Source organism: Homo sapiens, chromosome 18 (genome assembly GCF_000001405.40).
Source record: "Homo sapiens chromosome 18, GRCh38.p14 Primary Assembly".
Lineage (NCBI taxonomy): Eukaryota > Metazoa > Chordata > Mammalia > Primates > Hominidae > Homo > Homo sapiens.
The window spans coordinates 58807757-58835707 of record NC_000018.10 but is presented as its reverse complement, the minus strand read 5'-3'; the positions used below and the strand labels follow the sequence as shown (position 1 = coordinate 58835707).

Genomic DNA, 27951 nt, shown 5'->3' with positions numbered 1-27951 from the left:
TTTTTGTAGGTAAGTAATATTCCATTGTATGGATATATCACATTGTGATTATCCAGTAAGTCAACAGTTGATGGATATTTGGGTTGTTTTTGCCTTTTGGCCACTGTAAATAACGCTGTGAACATTCATGTAAAATAATTGTTTGAGTTTCTGTTATCAGTTCTTTGGGGTATATACCTGGGAGTGGAACCACTGGTTCATGGCAACTCTATGTTTAACTTTTTGAGGAACTGCCATACTGTTTTCCACAGTGGCTGCAGCATTTTTCATTCCTACCAGCAATGTCTGAGGGCTCTGATTTTTCCACATGCTCAATAACACTTATTTCCCATTTTAAAAAATTATAGTCACCCTAGTGGGTATGAAGTGGTATCTTCTTGTGATTTCCCCCATGGTTTCTTTTCCATTTATTTTGACAAATTTTTTTGACTTTCAAACACACCTTGATTACAATTATTTATGTGAAAAAACTATTTTTCTGATGAATAATAGTCCAAAATTAAGCATGTGTTTGTGTTCATGCCTACACATAGGAGTGCTATCATAAGCCCCTAAACATCTAAATGACAGGATACGGATTTGGGACGGTGGGAGGCCTATCTTTACACCTTCAAGGAAGCAGATTGGGCTGCTGGAAAGATCTTGGGTTGGAAGTTGAGAGGCCTAGGCCTCTATCTTCTGACACTGGTGGAATTATTAATATTTTGTTCTTATATTATTTTCAAAATTTTATTATTCTTTTTTATAAATGGTGTCTCACTCTGTTGCCAGACTAGACTGTTGTGGCCCAATCATGGCTCACTGTAACCTCAAACTCCTGGACTCAAGCAATCTTCCCACCTCAGCCTCCCAAGTAGCTGGGATTACAAGCGTGTGCCACTGTGCCCTGCTTATTTTTGTATTTTTAGTGGAGACGGGGTTTTGCCATGTCGGTCTCGAACTCCTGACCTCAGGTGATCCACCCGCCTTGGATTCCCAAAGTGCTGGGATTACAGGCATGAGCCACCACGCCTGGCACCCCCCTACACTAATTTTTAAATTTTTTGTAGAGACAGGGTTTCACCATGTTGCCCAGTCTGGTCTCAAACCCCTGCCTTAGATTCCCAAAGTGCTGAGATTACAGCCATGAGGCACTGCGGCCAGCCTCTTCCCCGTTTTTTCAGCACACCAGTCTTATTGCCTTAAGCCCCACCCTTGTAACCTGATTTAACCATAATTACCTCTTTAAAGAGGGCCAATCTCCAAATACATTCACATTGGGAGTTAGGGCTTCAAAATATAAATTTTAAGGGGCCATCGTTCAGTTCCTCTGAGCTTTGACTTTATCATCATTATAAGGAGAATTGAAACCAACTTGAGAATTTTATTGGAAACTAAAAAGTAACATCTCAGCCCTCTACAATGCCACTAATTGGCTAATTGAGCCAGTGGAGACAGTGAGTTATGGCAGAAAAAGCTGTGTCCTCAGGGCCGAAGAGGATGGCTTTCAGCTTGGAGAATAGCACCAAAGTCCTGTTATTTCTCTGGCCAAGGAGGTTATTATGAGGATCAAAAGAGAAAAAACATTTGCAAGTATGTTAAAATTATAAAGCACTATAAAAAGCAAGCCATTATTACTATTGCTTTTCTTGTCCTTAGGATGCAATCTCAGCTAAGCCATGTAGTTATTAATTTTGTCACTCACTGCCACCTCCTTGAGTGCTTGCTTCACTTACACCATTTGCCACTGAATTAGTAATGATTTGGCTTTTCTGCGAGTGGCAGAAAACCCCAGCTAACAGTTGTTTAACAAGATGACAAATTGAAGCATAAGCAATCTGCTCCCAGAAGTTTTCAGGAACCAGTCCTTATGGTCCAATGTGATGGCATCAGCATTCCCAGCATCCAGGATGCAAGAAGGGACAATGAAATTAGCCGGGTGTGGTGGCAGGCACCTGTAGTCCCAGCTACTCCAGAGGCTGAGGCAGGAGAATGGCGTGAACCCGGGAGGTGGAGCCTGCAGTGAGCCGAGATCACGCCACTGCACTCCAGCCTGGGTGGCAGAGTGAGACTCCATCTCCAAAAAAAAAAAAATAATAAAAAAAAGAAGGGACAATGAGGAAGAGAGAAGAGATGGGTTGTGAGCCACATGGACTTTGCACCCATCCATCCTATTGGTCAGAACTCAGCCATATGGCCACACATGGCTGCCAGGGAGGTCAGCGAATATAATGTTTACTCTGGGTGCCTGTGTGCTCCAATAAATAAATAAATAAATAAATATATATATATATATATATATATATATATATATATTTTTTTTTTTTTTTTTTTTTTTTGAGACAGTGTTTCACTCTGTTGCCCGGGCTGAAGTGCAGTGGTGTGATCTCAGCTCACTGCAACCTCTGCCTCTCCTGGGTTCAAGTGATTCACCTGCCTCAGACTCCCGAGTAACTGGGATTACAAGCATGCGCCACCATGCCCGGTTAATTTTTTGTATTTTTAGCAGAGATGGGGTTTCGCCATGTTGGCCAGGCTGGTCCTGAACTCCTGACCTAAAGTGATCTGCCTTCCTCAGCTTCCCAAATTTCTGGGATTACAGGCGTGAGCCACCATGCCCAGCCGCCACTAAAATTTATTAATGGGAACCATGAGAAAAATATTTCTGGAAACTAAGGAGTCTCTGCTCCTGAAATACTCTGGGCTTTGGCAGTTACATGAATCAATCGACAAGAAGATGTTGAATGAGGCAAGAAATAGAGTAGGAAATACTTTGATGGGTATAGTTCCATATTTAAAAAACTGATTTTAATAACTTGTTTCAGAGTTTGCAGGTTCCAAGTTGAGCTGAAATAAATAAACGAGTGCATATGACTATGAAGGTATTATTGTGATAGAATAAAAGGAGTTTTGGAAACCATCAACTCAGTTCTGCAGGAAGCCTCCTAAATCAGTTTCTCCCCTGATTAACTCAGGGTGTCCCGTGTTTTGAAATTTGTACCTGTGGGATTCGAATTTGTGGACATGGTTGAGTGATGGCACAGAGAGGCCAACGTCATTAACAGATGGCTTTTATCTGAGAGATTTCCTGAGAGAAGGGGGCATACCCTGCCACACAGGGCCACAGGAGAAGCTCCAGGTTTTGGTCTGGAGATGGAAGTGGGAGCAAGGGGAAAGCTGAAGCCAGGGCGTGTACTGGAGTTTCCTCGGGAAAGGCCAGGCCAGGCAGAGTCAACAGTTTAGGGTTGGATATCTTAAATAATTCCAGAGGGTTTGGGTCTGTAGCAGTGGCCTCTAGTTGCCTGGTCCTGAGGCAGGAGAATAGGGTCTGGAGTCAGGGAACCCAAGGCCGATTAATGCTGACTGCCTAGAACTAAATCAAAAGGAAAACCCCAACTTTCCACACCTAAGTAACAAAAGGACCAGAGGCTACTGCAAACCCCTCCCCCTTTCCTGCTGGGCAGATGGAAAATTCAAAGTATCAGAAGTGGCCTGGAGCTCACGCCTGTAATCCCAGCATTTTGGGAGGCCGAGGCAGGCAGATCACCTGAGGTCAGGAGTTGGAGACCAGCCTGGCCAACATGGTGAAACCCTGTCTCTACTAAAAACACAAAAATTAGCTGGGCGTGGTGGCAGGCGCCTGTAATCCCAGCTACTCAGGAGGCTGAGGCAGGAGAATCGCTTGAACCCGGGAGGCAGAGGTTGCAGTGAGCCGAGATCGTGCCATTGCACTCTAGCCTGGGGGACAAGAGACTTCTGTCTCAAAAAAAAAAATATAGGATACAACCAGAGCTAGGTCATGTGGTATTTCCATTGCCAAGTACAGTGCTTCATCATCAACCAACAAAGATTAGTGGCTTCTCTGTCTAGAGCAGTGATTTCCAAACTGTTTTTTAGGCAGGGAGACAGCATTGTATGACTTTAAGAAAATAGGCTTTACCAGGAGTGGTGACTCAATGCCTGTAATCACAGCTACTGAGAGGCTGATGCATGCTTGGGCTCAGGAGTTCGAGATCAGCCTGAGCAACACAGGGAGATTCCATCTAAAAGAAAAGAAAGAAATTAAAAGAAAAGAAAACTGGCTTTGGAGTCAGGCCTGAGCTTAGTTTTGCTTGCAATCATGTGACTTGAGGAAAAATACAGATTGAGCATCCCTTATCTGAAATGCTTGAAACCAGAAGTGTCTCAGATTTTAGAGATTTTTTTGGATTTTAGAATATTTCCATTATACCACTTGAGCATCACTAATCCAAAATACAAAATGCTCCAATGAACATTTCCTTTGAGCATTGTCAGTCTCAAAAAGTTTCAAATTTTAGAGCATTTCAAATTTCTGATCTTCAGATTAGGAATATCCAACTTGTACTATCTCTAAAGCTCGACTTCTTTACTGTAGAATGGGCAGAGTAGTAATATCTACATAGAACAACTGTGAGAATTAGATGAGATAATTTTTGTCCCCGCCCCCGGCATTGAGGGGCCTGTGTGTTGTCATGGATCTCTGCTGCATTGGTCAAGCCATCTCTTCCTAGAACCTCTCCTAGAAACATTGATTAGACTTTGCATCCACAGAAGACTGCCTCCATCCTAATTGGGCAACTCCATTTTAACAACTGGACTCGAAGTTGGAGCTTACTCACTATGTGACTTCGTCTATCAAGTGTAATTTTTTTTAATGTACTTCATCTATCAAGTGTAATTTTTTTTTTTTTTTAGACAGAGTCTCACTCTTATTACCCAGGCTGGAGTGCAATGGTGTGATCTCGGCTCACTGCAACCTCCACCTACCAGGTTCAAGTGATTCTCCTGCCTCAGCCTCCTGAGTAGTTGGGATTACAGGTGCCCGCCACCATGCCTGGCTAATTTTTGTATTTTTAGTAGAGATAGGGTTTCACCATGTTGGCCAGGCTGGTCTCGAACTCCTGACCTCAGGTGATCTGCCCGCTTCAGCCTCCCAAAGTACTGGGATTACAGGTGTGAACTGCATCCGGCCTCTGTGAGATTTTTATTCTTCCCCGTTTAGCATTTTGATAAAGAAAAAAACTTTGTATGGCAATAAGCTGTGTGATTCATGAAATCATACTTTTGACCATCTCTTTATTTTAACCATATGAAACAGTTGTTGTTACTGTTGATATTATTATTAATTTTGAGACAGGGTCTTGCTCTGTCATGCAGGCTGGAGTACACTGGTGTGATCACAGCTCCCTGCAGCCTCAACCTCCTGGACTCAAGCAATCCTCTCACCTCAGCCTCCCACATAACTGGGACCACAGGCATGTGCCACCACACCTGGCTAATGTTTTTGATTTTTTTTGTAGGGGCGAAGTCTTGCTATGTTGCCCAGGTTGGTATTATTGATATTATTATTAGTAGTAGTAGCAGTACCATGTTTACACAATGACCTAAAAGTATGTGAAAATGGATCATTTATTTATTCAGCCCTTATTATTTGATAGCCTCTTGGCACCAGAGATATATAAGTGAAAAAACAGAGGTTCCTGCTGGCATGGAGTTCACATCTGATATGGTTTGGCTGTTTCCCCACCCTAATCTCATCTTGAATTCCCACATGTTGTGGGAGGGACCTGGTGGGAGGTAATTGAATCATGGGGGCAAGTCTTTCCCTGCTGTTCTTGTGATAGTGAGTAAGTCTCATGAGATCTGATGGTTGTATAAAGAGGAGTTCCCCTGCACAAGCTCTCTTTTCCTGCTGTCATCCATGTAAGGCGTGACTTGCTCCTCCTTGCCTTCCGACATGATTCCCCAGCCACGTGGAACTGTAAGTCCATTAAACCTCTTTGTTTTGTAAATTGCCCAGTCTCAGGTATGCCTTTATCAGCAGCGTGAAAACAGACAAATACAACATCCTAGTGGGGGAGACAGTAAATAAACACATGGATAAGTAAAATGGGATTAGCGCCGTGTGCAGTGGTGCACACCTGTAGTCCCAGCTACTCGGAAAATCTCTTGAGCCTAGGAGTTTGAAGCCATCCTGGGCAACATAGTGAGACACCCGTCTCAAAAACAAAAACAAAACAAAACAAAAGCTGCTCTTTGTAGTAGCATGTGCTCATGCTCTTAAACAGAATATTCCTGAAAGTCCACTTTAGCTGAATTAGGCCTATTCCTGGGAAAACTACTTAATCACCTTCTTTGCCACTAAGGCCAAAAGCTCCAAGTCAGACTGCAATAAAGACTGGTTTAATCAGAGGACTCTTGAGTTTATTTTTCTCCTGAACTGAGGTTTTTTGGCAGAAGACTTGGGAAACTCTCATACCTCACAGGCTGGGAACTTCTGAGCTCAGAGCCTTGGGAAAACATAAAGAAGCACGGTTGGCCATTGAGAGCTTAAAGGGATACCTCCGGAGACCTTCATAATGCTACAAGTGTGCACATCTCCCCTCTAGCAAAGCAGTTCCCTATAAAATGTCATTATGCGTTGGCTGGAACAGTTGCTGAAATGTCATTTAGCAGAGTTCTTTTTTGTTGTTGTTGTTGTTTTTTTTTTTTTGGACAAGGTCTCTCTTTGTCATTCAGGCTGGAGTGCAGTGGCATGAACACAGCTTCCTGGCTCAAACAAACCACCCACCTCAGTCTCCCAAGTAGCTGGGATTACAGGTACATGCCACCAGGCCAGGCTAATTTTTTTTTTTTTTGTAGGTAGGGGCCTTGCTATGTTGCCCAGGCTGGTCTTGAACTTCTGAGCTCAAGCTATCCTCACGCCTCAGCCTGCCAAAGTGCTGGGATTACAGATGTGAGCCCCTGCTCCTGGCAAGGGTCAAATTCATGGCTTGGCGAAGCTGGAATTAAAAAACCTCGTGACGCTTACATTTGAACTGCGGATGAAAAGTTAAACCAGCAATGCCAACCTGCCAAGAACATAGCTGGTGTATTAATTACCTATTGCTGCGGAAGAAGTGACTCCAAAACATTGTAGCTTAAAACAAAACAAAAGTCATTTATTATCTCTCTTAGTTTCTGTGGGTTAGGAATTCAGAGAGGGTACAGCAGGGGTAACTGACCTCTGCTCCACGATGTCTGGGCCTCCGTGGGAAGACTTGAAGAGTGTGGGCTGAAATCATCTGAAGCCCTGTTCACTCCCATGTCTGGGGTTCATCACATGGAGCTGCTGGCTGGTGGCCCAAGGACGTTGGTCAGAACATCCACACAGAGTCTCTCCAAGTGGGCTTTCTCACAATGTGGTGGTTAGGTTCAAAGGGCAAGCATCCGGACAGAGGAAAAGATAGAGAACCAGGTGATACTATAACCGTTTGGTTACTGGTGGAGGATGTCCAGGTTCTTGGCGTTTTGAACAGAGAATTGGACAAAACGCAAAAACAAAGCAAGGAGAGAATGAAGCAACAAAAGGAACTGAAAACAAAAGTACACTCCACAAGGTGGGAACCGGCTCAGCATAGGGGCTCAGGAGCCCCTTTACAGAATTTTCTGGGGTTTAAATACCCTCTAAAGGTTTCCCATTGGTTCCTTGTGAAAGGTGACAACGTGCCAGCAGCCTTGCTTGTTCTCGGCGCCTCCTCGGCCTCAGCATCCGCTCTGGCCATGCTCTAGGAGCCCTTCAGCCCGACACTGCACTGTGGGAACCCCTCTCTGGCCTGGCTGAGGCCGGAGCCGGCTCCCTCTGCTTGAGGGGAGGTGTGGGAAGTAGAAGCACAGGCGGGAACCGGGCCTGCGCGTGGCGCTCGCGGGCCAGCATGAGTTCCGGGTGGGCGTGGGTTCCGCGGGCCCTGCAAGCCGGCCCTGCCGGCCTCAGGCAGTGAGGGGCTTAGCACCAGGGCCAGCAGCTGCAGAGGGTGCGCCGGGTCCCTCAGCACTGCCGGCCCTACCACACCGCGCTGGAATTCTCCAAGGGCCTCACCTGCCTTCCGGGGGGCAGTGCTCTGTGTCTAGCTAATCTAGTGGGGACTTGCAAAACTTTTTTGTCTAGCTAGAGGATTTTAAATACACCAATCAGCACTCTGTGTCTAGCTTAGGGATTGTAAATGCACCAATCAGCACCCCGTCAAAACAGGCCAATCAGCTCTCTGTAAAATGGACCAATCAGCTCTCTGTAAAGTGGACCAATCAGCAGTATGTGGGTGGGGCCAGATGAGGGAATAAAAGCAAGCTGCCGGAACCAGCGGTGGCAACTGGCTTGGGTCCGCTTCTGCAGTGTGTGAGTTTTGTTCTTTTGCTCTTTGTGATAAATCTTGCCGCTGCTCACTCTTTGAGTCCTTGCTGCCTTTGTGAACTGTAACACTGTGAAGGTCTGCAGCTTCACTCCTGAAGCCAGCAAGACCACCCACTGGAAGGAATGAACAACTCCAGATGTACTGCTTTTAAGAGCTGTAAGGCCCACTGTGAAGGTTTGCAGCTTCATTCCTGAAGTCAGTGAGACCACGAACCCACCAGAAGGAGGAAACTCTGGACACATCTGAACATCTGAAGGAACAAACTCCGGACACACCATCTTTAAGAACTGTACACTCACCGCGAGGGTCCACGGCTTCATTCTTGAAGTCAGCAAGACCAAGAACTCACGGATTATTCCGCACACACTTGGTTACACCCTATGTAAATGAAGTAGTGGCCCACAGTCAGTCTGATTGGTTGCAGAAAGCAACCAATCAGAGGTACTTTTGATTTTCCATCTGTCACACAGAAAAAAGGGGGCAGGGTTTGCAAAGGGAGTAGCCTCCTGTCCTTTCATTGCTTAGGTGTGGAAAGTTGGGGTTTTCCTTTTGATTTAGTTCTAGGAAGCCAGTGTGAATCTGCTTTAGATTCCCTTTGTCTAAACCCTATTTTCCTCCCTCATGGTTACTACCTAGCCTCAGAAACCAGGGAGCATCACTGCATCACTTCTGCTGTGTTCCCTTAGAGCAGTCATTGCTCAGATACAAGCAGTGGGGGAACCTGGGTTTCCTTTCCCTGGAAAGGGTGTAGGAAGGGCATGTGAGGTGGGATAAATATGTAGGTGTGGCTACCTTTAAAAAATGTAATCTGCTGGGTGAGGTGGCTCACACTTGTAATCATTCCAGCACTTTGGGAGGCCAAGGCGGGCAGATCACCTGAGGTTGGGAGTTCGAGACCAGCCTGACCAACATGGGGAAATCCCATCTCTACTAAAACTACAAAATTAGCCAGGCGTGGCGGTGCATGCCTGTAATCCCAGCTACTTGGGAGGCTGAGGCAGGAGAATCGCTTGAACCCAGGAGGCAGAGGTTGCAGTGAGCCGAGATTGTGCCATTGCACTCCAGCCTGGGTAAGAAGAGCAAAACTTCGTCTCAAAAAAAAAAAAAAAAAAAAAATAGAGGCAAGGTAATCTGCCACAGATAGTACTCAACAAATACTTACTGGGTAAGTGTGAATTCCAAATACCTGGTCTCAAACACCTGGTCTCAAACACCTGGCCTCAAAATTACAATCTAGCCAATAAAATAAAACATACAGTCATTTAACTCTTTCGCTAAATGGCACCTAAGATCAGCTAGTTATATACTACTAAGCTGTTGTTTCTCACCAGTGGTATTGAAAGGTAGTCTAGCTAGGCCACTGGACTTTCACGACAATCAATAAGCATTTGTTGGTCAGGCGTGGTGGCTCACACCTGTAATCCCAGCTTTTTGGAGGCTGAGGCGGGAAGATGGCTGGAGCCCAAGAGTTTGGGACCAGCGTGGGCAACATACTGAGACCCCATCTCCACAAGAAGTAAAAAAATTAGCTGGGCATGGTGGTGCATGCCTGTAGTACCAGCTACTCAGGAGGCTGAGGTGGGAGGATTGCTTGAGCCGCAGAAGTCTAGGCTGCAGCAAGCCGTGATTACACCACTGTACTCCAGCCTGGGTGACAGAGCAAGACCTTGTCTCAAAAAAACAGTTTTTTATCCCCTGGTTAAAAAAAATTCCATATCCCCTGGATTCCCACGTGCACACACAAGTGAGACGTGTTCTCTGCTAACTCCACTGGCTGCGGATCTCTAACCCTTTAGTATGCATTTGGAGATGTATAATCTATAGCCACACCGACTTAGTTTCATGTTCTAGCTCAGCTCCTACCAATTGTGTGATTTCAGACAAGTAAACTAATCTCTCCAGACTTGTATTTCCTCTTATGAAATGGGGTGGTTGACCCAGTGAAGGCAAATTAGCCAAAAACTTGGATATAAGCTGAAAGGACTCCTGCATATCTTTCAATATCATGCCAGAGCATAGCTAGCCCAGAGCCCGCCCAAGGATTATTTAATACTGGGAGATTTCAATATCATACTGGAGCATATCTAGCCCAGAGCCCACCCAAGGATTATTTAATACTGGGAGATACACTTTTGTCTTCTTGCTATTTACTAATGACGAAGGCTCAGATTCTCTCAAGTTACATGTTAACTAGTAGATTTCCAAGAGTATCCGAGATAACTCGGAAGGTTACCGTTCTATTGCCCGTTAGGACATTAACCAATTTTGCCTGTGATTTAGAAAATTTATTCTTGGCTGGGCGTGGTGGCTTATGCCTGTAATCCCAGCACTTTGAGAGGCTGAGGCAGGCGAATCACCTGAGCCCAGGAGTTCGAGACCAGCCTGGACAATATGGTGAAACCCCGTCTCTACTAAAAATACAAAAATTAGCTGGGTGTGGGGGCACACACCTGTAGTCCCAGCTACTCAGGAGGCTGAGGCAGGAGAATCACTTGAACCCAGGAGGTGGAGGTTGCAGTGAGCCGAGATTGTGCCACTGCATTCCATTCTGGATGACAGAGCGAGACTCTGTCTCAAAAAAAAAAAAAAAAGCTTATTTTTGGCTGCCTTTCCTGTCTGACTACATAGACCTCTGTTCTTTGAATTCTCCTTTGAACTAGTTTTACATCCTCCTGGCACCCTTGTGAATTAGTTACATACATAATTGACATGTGTTCATTCTACATTTGTATGAGAGTCAGGCTTTTATCTTTTTGAAAATTATACTTTCATAGCCCAAAGCCCTATGTATCATGGGGGGAAAAAAGTAATTAGTGTCACAGAATTCACTGGAGGAAGAGATCTGAAGAGGTCCAAGAAGACTTTCCAGAAAAGATTTTCGTGTGTGTTTTTTTTCTGTTTTTGTTTTTGTTTTGAGACAGGATCTCACTCTGTCACCCAGGCTGGAGTGCAGTGGTGCAATCACCGGAGGTCACTGCAGCCTCGACCTCCTGGGCTCAGGTAATACTCCTGCCTCAGCCTCCCAAGAAGCTAGGACCATAGGTGAGCACCACCATGCCTGGCTAATATTTTTGGATTTTTTGAAGAGACAGGGTTTTGCCATGTTGCCCAGGCTGGTTTCAAACTCCTGGGCTCAAGTGATCTGCCCACCTTGGCCTCCTAAAGTGCTGGGATTACAGGCATGAGCCACTGTGCCCAGCCTAGAAAAAATTTTCTATAGAAGTCTTTCTAGAAAGAATCTTTTTTTTTTTTTTTTTTTTTGAGACGGAGTTTTGCTCTTGTTGTCCAGGCTGGAGTGCAATGGCGCGATCTCGGCTCACTGCAACCTCCACCTCCCAGGTTCAAGCGATTCTCCTGCCTTAGCCTTCCCAAGTAGCTGGGATTATAGGCATGCGCCACCAAGCCCGGCTAATTTTGTATTTTTAGTAGAGATGGGGTTTCTCCATGTGGGTCAGGCTGGTCTTGAACTCCCGACCTCAGGTGATCCACCCACCTCGGCCTCCCACAGTGCTGGGAATACAGGTGTGAGCCACTGCGCCCAGCCTAGAAAGAATCTTGATGGTTGTGGGAGATAGTTTCAGAAGCGGGGAGGGCCTTTGAGGGCTGGGAGGGCATTTGTGCAGAAGAGGGGCCAAAGAACTGGGGGAAGTAAATTGAACAAGCCAGAAAGCCATGGCCTGGAGAGGATAAGTCATATTTTGAAACTAACCACATGAAAAACCAACAGATAACCTCCCAGCTTCATCAACTGTAAATTATTAAGATGAAAACCAGCAGTTGCTGTATATTTAAATTATATCATTTTTGTTTTATTCTTTTTTTGTTTGTTTTTTCAACATAGAGGCAGAAGAAATATAGTTGCTTCAATTTACAGTTAAGTTTCGCTTGCATCCACACCAGCCAGCATGGGTGGCCTTTCATGGGTTTCGTTTAGAAAGGAAATGAAATAGTACTCTTGGTCATAAAGGTTTTATTATTTTCCTGGGCTCTGCAGAGCAACTCAGAGAGGAAAGCCCGTGTCAATGCAGGAGGGCTTCGGATTACCAGCTAGACTTGTAACATACATTTTAAAAAGTCTTTTCCTGGCTTTGAAATGTTCCTTTAGAACTCATGGATTTTTTTATTCTATAAATTAAAGAATGACCAACTATGATACTTGGAATCAGCCAAACTAATCCATTGCAGAAATCTGTGGTATAGGAAGGCTGTCTGACAATAGTCCTCCCACCTCCTTTTTCACCCTCCTTAGTTGTGCTGCAGGCATCTCTACTATTGCCCACAGCCTTAAAAAAAAAAATGCGGCCAGGCCCGGTGGCTCACGCCTATAATCCCAGCACTTTGAGAGGCCGAGGTGCGCAGATCACCTGAGGTCAGAAGTTTGACCAGCCTGGCCAACATGGCGAAACTCCCGTCTCTACTAAAAGTGCAAGAATTAGCTGGGTGTGGTGGCGCACGCTTGTCATCCCAGCTACTCTGGAGGCTGAGGCAAAAATAATCGCTTGAACCTGGGAGGCGGAGTTCAGTGAGCCGAGATCTCGCTACTGAACTCCAGCCTGGACAACAGAGCAAGACTCTGTCTCCAAAAAAAACCCAAAAAAACAAAAGAACAACAACAACTGAAATGAAACTCTGTACCCATCAAACAATAATTCCCCCCTGCCTCCTACTCAAGTCCCTGGCAACCACCATTCCACTCTTTGATTCTATGAATTTGACTATTTTGTCATAGATACCGCATACAAGTGGAATCGTGTACTCTTTGCCTTTCTGTGTCTGGCTTATTTCACTTAGCATCGTGTCTTCCAGGTTCATCAATGTTGGAGCATGTGTCGGAATTTCCTTCCTTTTTAAGGCTGAATGTTCCATTGTATGTACGCACTACATTTTGTTTATTCATTCATGAATGGAAGAAACAAGGGGCGCTTGAGTTGCTTCTATCCTTTGGCTATTGTGAGTAGTACTACTATGAACATAGGAGTACAAAGATTGGCACATTACTTTTTAAACACTTAAAAAAAATGATAGACGCTGTCTGAAGACTGAAACATGTTCATTACTTTTCAGTTTCACAAGGGACTTTTGGAAATATCTTTGTCCAGGTCTAATCCTAATCAAGATTTCTACCCATTTTCTTTTTCTTTTTATTTTTTGAGATAAAGTCTTGCTCTGTCGCCCAGGCTGGAGTGTAGTAGCACAATCTTGGCTCACTGCAACCCCTGCCTCCCAGGTTCAAGCAATTCTCTTGCCTCAGCCTCCCGAGTAGCTGGAATTACAGGCACGTGCTACCATGCCCGGCCAAATTTTTTGTATTTTTAGTAGAGACAGGGTTTCACCATGTTACCCAGGATGGTCTCGATTTCCTGATCTCGTGATCCACTCACTTCAGCCTCCCAAAGTGTAGGGATTACAGGCATGAGCCACCGCGCCAGGCCCATTTTCTTTTATTGAGAGAGAGTCTCAATCCATCATCCAGGCTGGAGTGCAGAGGCACGATCTTGGCTCACTGCAACCTCTGCCTCCTGGGTTCAAGTGATTCTCGTGAGTCAGCCTCTCTAGTAGCTGGGATTATAGGCGTGTGCAACCAGGCCTGGCTAATTTTTTGTATTCTTATTAGAGACGGGCTTTCGCCAGGTTGGCCAGGTTGGTTTTGAACTCCTGGCCTCATGCGATCCCCCCACCTTGGCCTCCCAAAGAGCTGGGATTACAGGCATGAACTATTGCACCCAGCCTCTACCCATTTTCATGAAGAGCAAAGTTATATAGCTGTGATTAGCATCTCAATATAGCACTTTTATTTACCCAGATCCAATATGCATGGTTAAAAATTACTGAGTGATTTGGGGGGCAGCATTTGCAGTATGGCCATGATATTTCTCAACTTCCCTCTCCCCTTGCCAGTGTCAGACTCAGCCCCTGATCACAAGAGGTAGGCACGTGGTGAAGCTAATGCAATCAGATTACTTTTCCTGGGAATTTGAATAAATCATTGGATAGCAAGATCCCCAACAGAAGTTTCTTACAGGCCTCTGCCACTGTGATTCTCAGACCTGTCCTGGTTCCTGCTTTTAATTTTGTGAGCTTCTCAGTGTCATTGAAACAACCTTTTTTGGCTTACATTCATGAGTCAATTTCTATTGCTTTCTATCACAGAACTTCAACTGATACAATTCAAAAGCTGATGCTCGAATTTCTTCAAGAAATATAGGAGGCCGGGCACGGTGGCTCACGCCTGTAATCCGAACACTTTGGGAGGCCGAGGCAGGTGGATCACTTGATGTCAGGAGTTCAAGACCAGGCTGGCCAACATGGTGAAACACCGCCTCTACTAAAAATACAAAAATTAGCTTGGTAGGGTGGCACGCGTCTGTAATTCTAGCTACTCGGCAGGCTGAGGCAGGAGAATTGCTTGAACCCGGGAGGTGGAGGTTGCAGTGAGCCAAGATCACACCACTGCACTCTAGCCTGGGTGACAGAGCAAAACTTCATCTCAAAAAAAAAAAAAATATATATATATAGAGAGAGAGAGAGATGTGTATGTGTATATATATATATGTATATATATGTGTGTGTGTATATATATGTGCATATATATGTGTGTGTGTGTATATATATATATGTGTGTATATATATATGAATATCTGGCCAGGCATGGTGTCTCATGCCTGTAATCCTAGCACTTTGGGAGGCCGAGGCAGGTGGATCACCTGAGGTCAGGAGGTCGAGACCAGCCTGGCCAACATGGCGAAACCCCAGCTCTACTAAAAATACCAAAATTTGTCAGGCATGGTGGCACATGCCTGTAGTCCCAGATACTTGGGAGGCTGAGGCTGAGGCTGAGTCTACTCAGGAGGCAACCTCTGCTACCCGCTTGAACCCAGGTAGCAGAAGTTGCACTGAGCCGAGATCATGCCAGTTCATTCTAGCCTGGGTGAAAGAGTGAAACTCTGCCTCAAAAAAAGAAAAGAAAAGAAAAGAAAAGAAACATAAACATATGGTAACACTCATTTGACATAAAAATGATCTATTTTATGATGGTCCATTTCTCTCAGCACATCCTGACAGCTATTTTAAAAACATGTCATGCCAGAAGATCTGTTCTGTTTCCCTCTGTATCTCCATGTATCTGTCTTTGCGTCTGTCTGTTGTCTCTCTCTCAGAGGAGAAGGAGAAAGGAGAATTCAAGAAGGAAGGAGAAGAGAGACATGTTATAGAGTGGAATCCTCAATCGTATAAAAATGTGGAAATGTCCAAAAGGTGTCTATTTTTGCTCCTAAAGCAAAATACTTTTTTGTGCAAGAGCATGTTTCTTTTTATTTTATTTATATATTTTTTCAGAGACAAGGTCTGGCTCTGTCACCCAGGCTGGAGTGCTGTGGTGCGATCATAACTCACTGCAGACTCAAACTTCTGGGCTCAAGCAATCCTCCCAAGTAGTTGAGACTACAGGAGTGAACCACCACATCCAGCTGATTTTTTTTTTTTTACTTTTTATTTATTTATTTATTTTGTAGAGATGGGGTCTCTACACTCTATGTCACCCAGGCTGGTCTTGAACTCCTGGGCTCAAGCGATCCTCCAGCCTTGGCCTCCCAAAGCATTAGGATTACAGGCATGAGCAACTGTGCCCATCTGAAGAGTGTGTTTCTAATTTAGTGCTTGATTTACTGTCTTCAGCTTCTGGCATAGCCTCAAAGTTAAGATTCACTTGAGGCCGGGGGAGATGGCTCATGCTTGTAATCCCAGCACTTAGGGAGGCCAAGGCAAGCACGTGACTTGAGGCCAGGAGTTTGAGACCAGCCTGGCCAACACGGTGAAACTCTGTCTATACTAAAAATACAAAAATTAGCTGGGCATGGTGGCGGGTGCCTGTAGTCCCAGCTACTCGGGAGGCTGTGGCAGAATTGCTTGAACCCGGGAGGTGGAGTTTGCAATGAGCCGAGATCGTGCCACTGGTCTCCAGCCTGGGTGACAGAGCGAGACCCTGTCTCACACACACACACACAAACAAATAAATATTCATTTGAGCTGGAAAGTTATTCCCATCAGAGGAAGAATAATTGTGTTTGCATTTTCCATTCTTTGCTTTTGTGTTTTCTTGAGGAAATTCTTCCAGAGTCAGACATTCTCTATGTTCTCTAAAAACTTCTCTTGTTTGAGCCAGAGCTCTGTGAGCTGCTTCTCTTAAAGAGCTGCTCGTGGACGATCTGCCACAAAGAGTTTTAAAATGTGGTGTTGGTCTCTTTTTTCTGAACCACATCAAAGAGCACAGATTATTTCCTTTCTGAGAACAAAACTCTTTAATGACAAGAAAGAACAAGAAACTGAGCCGCCAACCAGCCCTATCAGGAAAGACACTGTAACCCTAACAATGACAAATGATCCACTTCTACAATCTCTTGTCACTTTTTGAAATTTAAACCAAACACAGTAATCATATTCTCGCATATGTGTCTCTAAAATAAAATCACACTTTGTCACTCTGAAAACTTTTTATAAACCTGGATTAATAATGTAATCCTATCATCAGGTGGGATAATCCTTACCTGTTCCTCGTTTTGGAGGGCAGATAGAACAGGATAATTGGAGTTTGCATGATCCATGATTAATGTCTCTGTGTAATCAGGACTTGCAAACTCTGATTGTTCATATCTGATTTGTTGTGAAAAAAAATTAAACCTCATAGGACAATTTAATAATGTCTATCAAATGTTTATCATGGAAGATTTAGCAAAATTACAAGTAGTTAACTAAATAGCGAACTTACAAATATTTAGCAAAATTACAAGTGATCTTATTATTTCACTCAGCAATGGTATTTGTAGGACTTTATCCAACAGCTGTATATACATATGTGCAAAACAATAGATATAAAAGGTGATTTGTTTCAGCATTTCTTGTGAGAGCAAAATATTGGAAACTATCAGGCCAGGTGTGGTGGCTCACGCCTGTAATCCCAGAACTTTGGGAGGCCGAGGCAGGCAGATCACGAGGTCAGGAGTTCAAGATCAGCCTGGCCAACATAGTGAAACCCCGTCTCTACTAAAAAAAAAAAAAAAATTAGCCAGGCATGGTGGTGCGTGCCTGTAGTCCCAGCTACTCGGGAGGCTGAGGCAGGAGAATTGCTTGAACTTGGGAGGTGGGGGTTCCAGTGAGCCGAGATTGTGCCACTGCACTCCAGCTTGGGCAACAGAGTGAGACTTCATCTCAGAAAAAGAAGAGAACTATCTGATGTCCATAAATGCCTTCATACTCTATCACCTGGTGGAATACTATGCAGCTATTAAAAAGAGAGCACTCTTACGTATTCCTATGCAAGGATCTATAAGACATATTGTTAAAAAAACAAAAACAAAACAAAAATACAAGCTGCAGAACTGTTTATATGCAGTGGTTCTTGACTTTGGATGCACATTAGAAATCACTAGGGAGGAGCCAAGCTGTCAGGCTGGAGTGCAGTGGTGTGATCATAGTTCACTGCAGTGTCAAACTCCAGGACTCAAGCGATCCTCCCACCTTAGCCTCTGGAGTAGCTGGAACTACAGGTGTGTACCACCATGCTCAGCTAATTTATTTATGTATTTACTTTGTAGAGAAGGGGTCTTGCTTTGTTGCCCAGGCTGGTCTGCCTGCCAGAATGCTGACATTACAGGTGTGAGCCACCATGCTCAGCCCTAAAAAGAAATTATGTTTAAATCATGTTTTCAGGAAGATCCATCTTTCTGTTTAGCCTAGAAATGGAGCTACATCATTCTGGACTGTGGGAGATGTAAGAAAGGCAATACTTCTTTTTTTTTTTTTTTTTTTTGGTTGAGACAGAGTCTCGCTCTGTTGCCCAGGCTGGAGTGCAGTGGCATGATCTCTGCTCACTACAACTTCCGCCTCCCGGGTTCAAGCAATTCTGCCACAGACTCCCGAGTAGCTGGGACTACAGGCGCCCGCCACCACACCCAGCTAATTTTTGTATTTTTAGTAGAGATGGGCTTTCACCATATTGGCCAGGCTGGTCTCAAACTCCTGACCTTCTGATCTGCCCACCTCGGCCTTCCAAAGTGCTGGGATTACAGGTGTGAGCCACCGTGCTCAGCAAGAAAGGTAATACTTCTTTTTATTCAAAGTAAAATACTTGTGCGTCCATCCATCCATCCATCCGTATGCATGCAATACAAAAGAGATGTGTACAGAATTTTTTGTGTGTTGTTTTGTGTTGAGACGGTCTCGCTCTGTCGCCAGGCGGGAGTGCAGTGGCACCATCTAGGCTTACTGCAGCCTCCGTCTCCTGGGTTTAAGCCATTCTCCTGCCTCAGCTTCCTCAGTAGCTGGGACTACAGGCACGTACCACCATGCCCAGCTAATTTTTGTATTTTTTATTAGAGACAGGGTTTCGCCATTTTGGCCAGGCTGATCTTGAACTCCTGGCCTCAAGTGATACAACAGCCTCGGCCTCCCAACATGCTGGGATTGATTCCAGGCGTGAGCCACTGCACCTGGCCTCATTTTGCTTTCTTAAATACTTGGAATTCCCTGCACCAAGAAGATGAAAAAGTGAAAAACTCATGGATGGGAAATTTCTTTTTGTTTTTTGTTTTTTTTTTGAGACGGAGTCTCTGCTCACTGCAAGCTCCGCCTCCCGGGCTCACGCCATTCTCCTGCCTCAGGCTCCGGAGTAGCTGGGACTACAGGCGCCCGCCACCACGCCCGAGAATTTTTTGTATTTTTAGTGGAGACGAGGTTTCACCATGTTAGCCAAGATGGTCTCGATCTCCTTGCCTCGTGATCCGCCCGCCTCGGCCTCCCAAAGTGCTGGGATTACAGGCGTGAGCCACCGCGCCCGGCCGGGGAATTTCAAACTTACTGATACCTTGTGTTTTCCTCCCAGGGACAGGTACAAGAGGGTGTGACTGTGGGAAGGGACACACTAACAATAGGCAAGGGGCCCAGGTTGTTTCTTCTGTGAAGGTACCGGTCTGTGGCCTGTTAGGAACCGGCAGCACAGCAGGAGGTGAGCGGCTGGTGAGCCATTATTGCCTGAGCTCCGCCTCCTGTCAGATCAGCGGCAGCATTAGATTCTCATAGGAGCAGGAATCCTATCGTGAACTGCGCATGTGAGGGATCTAGGTTGCGTGCTCTGTATGGGAATCTAATGCCTGATCATGTGAGGTGGAACAGTTTCATCTTCCCCACCCCTGGTCCGTGGAAAAATTGTCTTCCATGAAACCATGAAACCGGTCCCTGGTCCCAGAAAGGTTGGGGTCTGCTGCCCTAATTCATGCACTAGAGTTTCATATGCTGACATGATCTCTGTGATCATAAATATGAATTAGATTAAATTTATCTTTGACTCCAGTACAATTTCCTCTTTTCTCTCTTTTTGGTAACTCCCAATTCAGGTGCATCTGCAATGCATTCTCACAATTCATTTCAATTTAGTAAATGATGGCTGAGTGTCTCCCCATTCAAGGCACTGTGTTAGACACTGGGACAGAAAACTAAATAAGACTTGATCCTGCAGCAGAAGAGACAGCCAGGCAGGTATCTAGAATTCAGTGTGTTGAATATGACAGTGTAAGTGCCTATGCTGCCACAGCCTCCTTCTGAGCAAACAGCCGGTTGGTTCCTTATGCAAAGGTCATCCAACGTAGAAACAAATATGCTGAATCTCCTGAGGAGACAGTGATTAATTTAGGCTAGAGGTCAGTGTGGGACCAATCAAGGTGACGTTGGAATTAATTTGGACTTGAGGAGCGTACAGTTTCATAAGGCAGAGAAACATATACTACAAAGAATGAGGTATATTTGTGAGGATTTGGAGCTGTGCCATTCCTTAGAGTATTAAAGTCATGAAAAAAAGGCTGGGCGCAGTGGCTCACGCCTGTAATCCCAGTACTTTGGGAGACCAAGGCGATCACAAGGTCAGAAGTTCGAGACCAGCCCGACCAATATGATGAAATCCTGTCTCTACTAAAAACACACAAAAAAATAGCCAGCATGGTGGAATGCGCCTGTAATCCCAGCTACTTGGGAGGCTGAGACAGAAGAATCCTTTGAATCCGGGAGGCAGAGGTTGCAGTGAGCAGAGATTGCGCCATTGCACTCCAGCCTGGGCAACAAGAGCGAAACTCTGTTTCAAAAAAAAAAAAAAAAGACTATGATTATCATGCATGGGGTTAGGGATGGGGGTGCAGGAGATGAGGTAAATTGGAGGTAGATTGGGGTCGGATTGGGAGGTGAATTTCTGCCTATTCTGATGAAGAGTCATCAGTGCTTCGCAGGCATGGCAGTGGCATTACAGATGTGTTTTGGAAGAAAATTCAGGAACAGGGAAGGGTTGTAGTTTGTAGCTGTCAGATGCAATGAGGCAGATTAAAAGCTAGACAATTTAGGCCAGTCGCGGTGGCTCATGCCTGTAATCCCAGCACTTCAGGAGGCTGAGGTGGTCAGAGTGCTTGAGTTCTGGAGTTCAAAATTAGCCTGGGCAACATTGTGAAACCCTGTCTCTACTAAAAACATACAAAAATCAGCTAGGCATAGTGGTGCACACCTATAGTCCTAGCTACTCGGGAGGCTGAGGTGGGAGGACCACTTGAGCCTGGGAGGCAGAGGTTGCAGTGAGCCGAGATCACGCCACTGCACTCCAGCCTGGATGACAGAGCGAGACCCTGTCTCAAAAAAAAAAAAAAAAAAAGAAAGAAAGAAAAAAAAAGAATGACCTTCTCTTTTAAGGCTGAACTCTATTCCATTGTATGTATGTTCCACATTGTGTTTCTCCATTCGTCTATCAGTGGACACTTAAGTTGCTTCCACAGTTTAGTTGTTAGAAATGTGGAAGTACAAGTATCTGTTTGAGTCCCTGTATTAGTCCGTTTTCACACTGCTATAAAGATACTGCCTGATATATTACCTGAGACTGGGCAATCTATAAACAAAAGAGGCTTAATTGACTCGCAGTTCCCCATGGCTGGGGAAGCCTCAGGAAACTTATGGTCATAGTGGAAGGCAAAGGGGAAGCAGGCACCTTCTTCACAAGGCGGCAGGAGAGAGTGTGAGTGAAGGGAAAGCCCCTTATAATACCATCGAATCTTGTGAGAACTTACTGTCATGAGAGCAACATGGGGGAAACCAGTTCCATGATCCAATCACCTCCTACCAGGTCCCTCCCTGGACTTGTGGGGATTACAATTCAAGGTGAGATTTGGGTGGGGACCCAGAGCCATGCCATATCAGTGCCTGCTTTCATTTCTTTTGGGAACATACTCTGAAGCATAATTGCTAGATCATATGGTAATTTTAGGGTTAAGTTTTTGAGGAACGTCATTACTGTTTTCTACAACAATGGCGCCATTTTACATTCCCACCAGCAATGTACAAGGATTCCAATTTCCCAACATCCTCACCAGTTGTTATTTTCTGTTCTGTTTATTTGGATATTAGCCATCCTAATGAGTGACAGTGAAATTTTACTTACATGAAGGATCTCATTCTCCACTGATACCCACGAAAACAAAGGGGACCATTCTGCACTTGGCTGAAGTGAGCATTTTCTCATCAGGAGAGGAGTAGCCCAGGGGATGTCCACTGGAGATAGGGTGGGCGCCCTCCACTCCATCTTCCCTTCTTGGAAACTTGGAGAATTTCTTGTGTTATTCTTGGGACTGTGATGTGTATAAATAGAATGGGATGAGGGAAAAAGAAAAGGTTGAGAGCCAGTTCAGAAAGATCCTTGTAATATATTTTGTTGATCTTACTTTTTCAAACTTGTACAGCTTGATGGCTGTGAGCAAATATTTCCACTAGGAATCTGTTGACATTTCCACCACTCTTCTCTTCTTTTTCTGTTCTGTTTTTTTTTTCTGCCTAGTCTTTCAGTGTCAATCTTGTCTTAATTTCAGCATGCATTCTGTCCTCATGCATAAATTAGGTATGGTTTTCTGCTCTTTATTCGAAATTGCCTATTTCTATTGTAAATTACACCAATCATAATTTCCAGTTTACCGCTTTTCTCCAGACATTTTTGCTTTTAATACAAATTCATAAATTAAAAGTCAACTACTCTCACTCCCAAAGATTAAAAAGATAAAAGCCTGTAATTTGGTGGACACCGATCATCAAATATGCATGTTACACTGAAGAACTGGCTTTGCAATTCTGCAGCTGTACTCTTGGGTTGGTGATGAAGAAGACAGTTATAGGGGATCCCGAGCTTTCAGCATCTCAGTAGTGCCAGTACATCTGGAATCCAAGACAAAATGTGAATGCAGGCATCATGAAGCAGAATTCGAGCTGTGCGGTAATCAGCCAGATGATCTGCAACACACAGATGCTAGCTTTTTTTTAGATAACCACCAAAATAGAAACACAAATTTTACACTCAAAGAACACTCAGGGCCCTTAGTGGAGAAATAGCTGCATCGTGCCAGTTATGAATTCTGTTGTTTTTGGTGGTCACAATTTATCATAGCCCCACTTAACCATGATTTCACTTTCCATGGTTTCAGTTACCTTCCGTTAACTAAGGTCCAAAAATATTAAATGGAAAATTCCAGAAATAAGCAATTCATAAGCTTTAAGTTGCACCTGCCATTCTGAGTAGTGTGATGAAGCCTTGCACCTGCGGTGGGATTCCTCCCTTTGTCCAGCATCTCCATGCCATAGATGTCCCCACTCATGAGTCACATCGGAGCCCTCTCAGTTACCACATCGGCTGTCTCTGTATTGCAGTGCTTGGGTTCAAGTCATTCTTATTTCACTTCATGATGGCCCCATAGCGCAAGAATACTGATGCTGACCGGGCGTAGTGGCTCACACCTGTAATCCCAGAACTCTGGGAGGCCGAGGTGGGTGGATCACCTGAGGACAGGAGTTCAAGACAAGCCTGGCCAACGTGGTGAAATCCCATCTCTACTAAAAATAGAAAAATTAGCCAGGGATGGTGGTGCATACCTGTAATCCCAGCTATTTGGGAGGCTGAGGTAGGAGAATCCCTTGAGCCCAGAAGGCAGAGGTTGCTGTGAGCTGAGATCGTGCCACTGCACTCCAGCCCGGGCGATAGAGCGAGACTCTGTGTCAAAACAAAACAAAACAAAAAAATTAGCCAGGCATGGTGGCATGCGCCTGTAATCCTAGCTTTGCGGGAGGCTGAGGCAGGAGAATTGCTTGAACCTGGAAGGTGGAGGTTGCAATGAGCCGAGATCACACCACTGCACTCCAGCCTAGGCGACAGAGCGAGACTGTCTCTGAAAAAAAATAAATAAATAGCCGGGCGTGGTGGCTCACGCCTGTAATCCCAGCACTTTGGGAGGCCGAGGCGGATGGATCACGAGGTCAGGAGATCGAAACCATCCTGGCTAACATGGCGAAACCCTGTCTCTACTAAAAATACAAAAAAATAGCCAGGCGTGGTGGCGGGCGCCTGTAGTCCCAGCTACCCGGGAGGCTGAGGCAGGAGAATGCCGTGAACCTGGGAGGCAGAGCTGGCGGTGAGCCAAGACCCCGCCACTGCACTCAAGCCTGGGCAACAGAGCGAGACTCTGTCTCAAAAATAAATAAATAAATAAATATATAAATATATAAAATAAAATTATGAAATCTGCAGTGGGGCCAGGTGTGGTGGATCATCCAAAGAAGGGTGGACAAGGGCTTAAATTGTTAGAAAACTCACTTGAAATGGGAGGTGTGAAAGTAAATATTTGCAAAGATAGATGATATTCCACAGCAGCCTGAATGGAGAGTGACATTTGCTCAGAAAGAATCCCGGATTATAAATATGACTAACAGAGAAATGTGCCTATTATTTCACCATGTTTTGGCAGAAGAACTTCAAAAGAAAATCTATTATAAGGTTATCAAGCTTCATTAGTACAATTAACTGTTTTCAAAATAGGCCCATTTTCCCAGCTACTTAGCAAGATGAGGCAGGAGGATCCTTTGAGCACAGGAGTTCGAAGCCACCTTGGGCAACATAATGAGACTCCTATCTTTAAAAAAGAAAAAAAGAAAAAAAACAGGCTCATTAAAAAAAAAATTGTCAAACTGCATACTCATCATCTTCGGCTAACAAGACACCAGGAAATCTCTGGAATAAAAACTGATATAAATAACTCTCAATTAATTTAAAATCCCACATGAGTTCTCTGCTTGCATCCTGACTTTTCCTCATTTTTGCTACTGGCCTCTGTCGCTGGATTTTCAGGGAATGGTAAGGAAACAAGGGAAGACCAGAAAGTCTATTTTAGCTTCTTGCTAGGGGGTTTTGAGAAAGAACTGGTCAAGAAATTTTGAAAAGTGGTCTTAGGATGACCCGTGGGTTTTAATGAGCCCAGCAATGGGTGTTGAGACAAGGGTATAATAATAATAAACAGAACTAAGTGCCGGGCGCCATGACTCACGCCTGTAATCCCAGCACTTTGGGAGGCCGAGGCGGGTGGATCACGAGGTCAGGAGTTCAAGACCAGCCTCACCAACCTGGTGGAACCCCATCTCTACTAAAAATACAAAAATTAGTTGGGCATGATGGCAGGCACCTGTAATTCCAGCTACTCAGGAGGCTGAGGCAGGAGAATCGCTTGAACCCAGAAGGCGGAGGTTGCAGTGAGCTGAGATCATGCCATTACACGCCAGCCTGGGTGACAGAGTGAGACTGTCTCAAAAAAAAAGAAAAAAAAAGAGAATTAAGCAATCTAGCTCAAGAAACAGTACATCCAAATAATCACACTGGGATTTGTTTTGTTTTTGTTTTTTTTAATTGAATATGTTTTTTATATTAAAAAAAATACAGGCGGGATTTCACCATGTTGACCAGGCTGGTCTCAAACTCCTGACCTCAAGTGATCCACCTGCCTCGGCCTCCCAAAGTGCTGGGATTACAGGAGCTAGCCACCACGCCCCACCTGTTTTATTTGTTTCTAGAGATGCAGGTCTCACTATGTTGCCCAGGCTGAACTCAAACCCCTGGGCTCAAGGGATCCTCCTACCTCAGCTTCCTGAGCTGGGATTGTAGGTGAGTGCCACCACCCCAGGCCAGGATTTGATTTTAATTCCAGTTCTAAAATCCTTTCTCTGCCTGGAGGTACTTGCCTCATGGCAATTAGGAAACTGCTTCTCTGAGCAGGCCTTGAACTATTTTTGGCCTTCAACAGGCCCCTAGTGCCGGGAGTGGTGGCTCATGCCTGTAATCCCAACACTTTGGGAGGCTGAGGCAGGTGGATCACTTGAAGTCAGGAGTTGGAGACCAGCCTGGCCAACATGGTGAAACCCTGTCTCTACTAAAAATACAAAAATTAGCCGGGTGTGGTGGCGGGTGCCTGTAATCCTAGCTACTCAAAGGCTGAGGTGGGAGAATCACTTGAACCCGGGAGGCGGAGGTTGCAGTGAGCTGAGATGGGGCCACTGCATACTAGCCTGGGCAACAGAGTGAAACTCTGTCTCAAAAAGAAGTAAATAAATAAATAAAGTAAACCTCTTTCCTTTATAAATTACACAGTCTCAGGTATGTCTTCATTAGTAGCATGAGAATGGACTAATACACCATATATCGAGCAATGTTACTTCCAGGTATATAATCCAAAAGAAATGAAAGCAGGAACTCAAACAGATTCGTGTACATGCATGTTCATAGCAGTACTATTAAAAATTGCCAAAAGGTGGAAGCGACCCAAGCATCCACTGACAGATGAACAGATCAACAAAATGTGGCGTACATATTTTGGAATATTATGGAACACTATTCCATATGATGGGATATTATTCTTCCTGAAAAAAAGAAAATTCTGCCAAATGCTGCAACATAGATGAACCTTGAGGACATTATACTAAGTGAAATCGGCCAGTCGCAAAAAGACAAATACTGTATGATTCCACTTACATGAGGTACCGAAAATATATGGTTTTGGACACAGCCAAACCATATAGTATGGTAATTCAATTTTTGAAGAACCACCATATCATCCGAAAACAATCCTTCTATCTTTTCTTTACCCAACTGTTTTCCATCCTTTAAAGTCCTGATCTAGTCCAGGAAGTCCTCAATGGTCTCCTCTACTCTTTCTACTTGTATATTTTGTACCTCGCAATCTGGCAGCTGACTAAATGCTCCCCTGTATTATCTTTTTTTTTTTGAGACAGAGTCCCGCTCTTGTTGCCCAGGCTGGAGTGCAATGGCGCAATCTCGGCTCACTGCAACCTCTGCCTCCCAGGTTCAAGAGATTCTCCTGCCTCAGCCTCCCAAGTAGCTGGGATTACAGGTGCCCAACACGCCCAGCTAATTTTTTTGTATTTTTAGTAGAGACAGGGTTTCACTATGTTGGCCAGGCTGGTCTTGAACTCCTGACTTCAGGTGATCTGCCCACCTCCGCCTCCCAAAGTACTGGGATTACAGGCATGAGCCACCGCACCTGGCCTGCTCCCCTGTATTATCTAGTCCTGCTTCTGTTGTGTTCATTGTGTGTCCTTGATTCAATTGTAAACTGCCTCTATGCAGATAAGTCATGCCCAGGACTCCTCTTCCCCTGCTGCATGTAGCTCAAAGAAGTCTACACTGCAGGACATCAGATATCAGGAAAAACCACTGATTGTCTGAAATACAATTAGCAGAAGGCGCAAGACCATAAGTAGTCATGTCTTCCATTTTAAGGCGTTTGACAGACAGCAAAACTATTCAGGAATAGAAACCAGGAGAAGCTCCCATATGAAGTAGGAGGTGCAGAGGGTAGGAGTTGAGATAAAGATTGGAGTTGGGCTAGCACTGAGTACCAATTAAATAACACTGAGTTTTCATCTTGGCTGTAGTGCCTACTAGTGTGGCTTTGTGGCCCTGGACAAACTATTTAACTTCCTGAAGTCATAGTGTTACTGTAGGTAGCTACTCAGGCATGAGCAGGGCAGAGAGTGCTGCCCACCCACCCACACACCAGGAATGTCAGGCAACCATCAGGTGATGGGCAGGTGGTTGTTAGCCGTCTCTCTAAATAATAATTGGTCCCAGCCAGCACCAGGGAAAGGCAATCTCCCAATAAACAGAAATACCTAAAGCTGGTGATCAGCAGCTTCCGGATAAGATCTCAGGAGGTGGGCGAGTGGGCCCGAGCATGCGCATTAAGAAGCAAAACGGTAGGCCGGGCTTGGTTACTCAGCCCTGAAATCCCAGCACTTTGGGAAGCCGAGGTGGGCGGATCGCCTGAGGTCAGGAGTTTGAGACCAGTCTGGCCAACATGGTGAAATTCTGTCTCTACTAAAAATACAAAAATTAGCCTGGCGCGGTGGCGGGTGCCTGTAATCCCAGCTACTTGGGAGGCTGAGGCAGTGAATCACTTGAACCTGGGAGTCGGAGGTTGCAGTGAGCCGAGATCGTGCCACTGCACTCCAGCCTGGGCAACAGAACGAGACTCCGTCTCAGAAAAAGAAAAAAAAAAAAAAAAAGAAGAAGCAAAATGACAGAGTTTAACTTGTATATGACCTTCTAGGGACATTTCACTATTTCACTGGTTAAGAGAAGAACGCCTCAAGTGAGCATGCGTACAACTCTAGTAAACACACTGCGCATGCTCCCCTCCCAAGCGCTTGCTGGCCACTGCGCATGTGGACAGCCCACCCAAGGGAAGAATCACAGGAGCAGGGATGGAAGACCCCGGAAGTATGCCAATGTATAGAACTCCAAGTCAAAAGGTCAAACCGCACACTTGATCTCTGAAGTTGCCCACTTGGCTTTCTTCCAAGTGTACTTTCCTTCCTTTCGTTCCTGCTCTAAAGCTTTTTAATAAACTTTCTCTCCTGCTCTAAAACTTGCCTG

At 44.9% G+C, this 27951-nt stretch overlaps 1 long non-coding RNA gene and 1 other non-coding gene across 2 annotated transcripts, besides 1 other annotated feature; one reads left to right on the top strand and one right to left on the bottom strand.

The window, feature by feature from the left end:
* Positions 1-1343: 1343 nt before the first annotated feature.
* Positions 1344-21828, bottom strand: LINC01926 (long intergenic non-protein coding RNA 1926). The gene is made up of 3 exons (NR_146904.1): positions 21634-21828; positions 3920-4022; positions 1344-1523 (listed from the first exon to the last, which is right to left on the bottom strand). It is a non-coding gene; the product is annotated as a long intergenic non-protein coding RNA 1926 (long non-coding RNA).
* Positions 16692-16825, top strand: LOC124900406 (U8 small nucleolar RNA). The gene has a single exon (XR_007066479.1). It is a non-coding gene; the product is annotated as a U8 small nucleolar RNA (small nucleolar RNA).
* Positions 26891-27881: an enhancer, noted in NCBI's record as "OCT4-NANOG-H3K27ac-H3K4me1 hESC enhancer chr18:56475059-56476049 (GRCh37/hg19 assembly coordinates)". NCBI's record gives its function as "activates a minimal SCP1, AML or CMV promoter by ChIP-STARR-seq in primed H9 embryonic stem cells {active_cell/tissue: H9 hESC(primed)}" and the evidence as "EXISTENCE:reporter gene assay evidence [ECO:0000049][PMID:30033119]".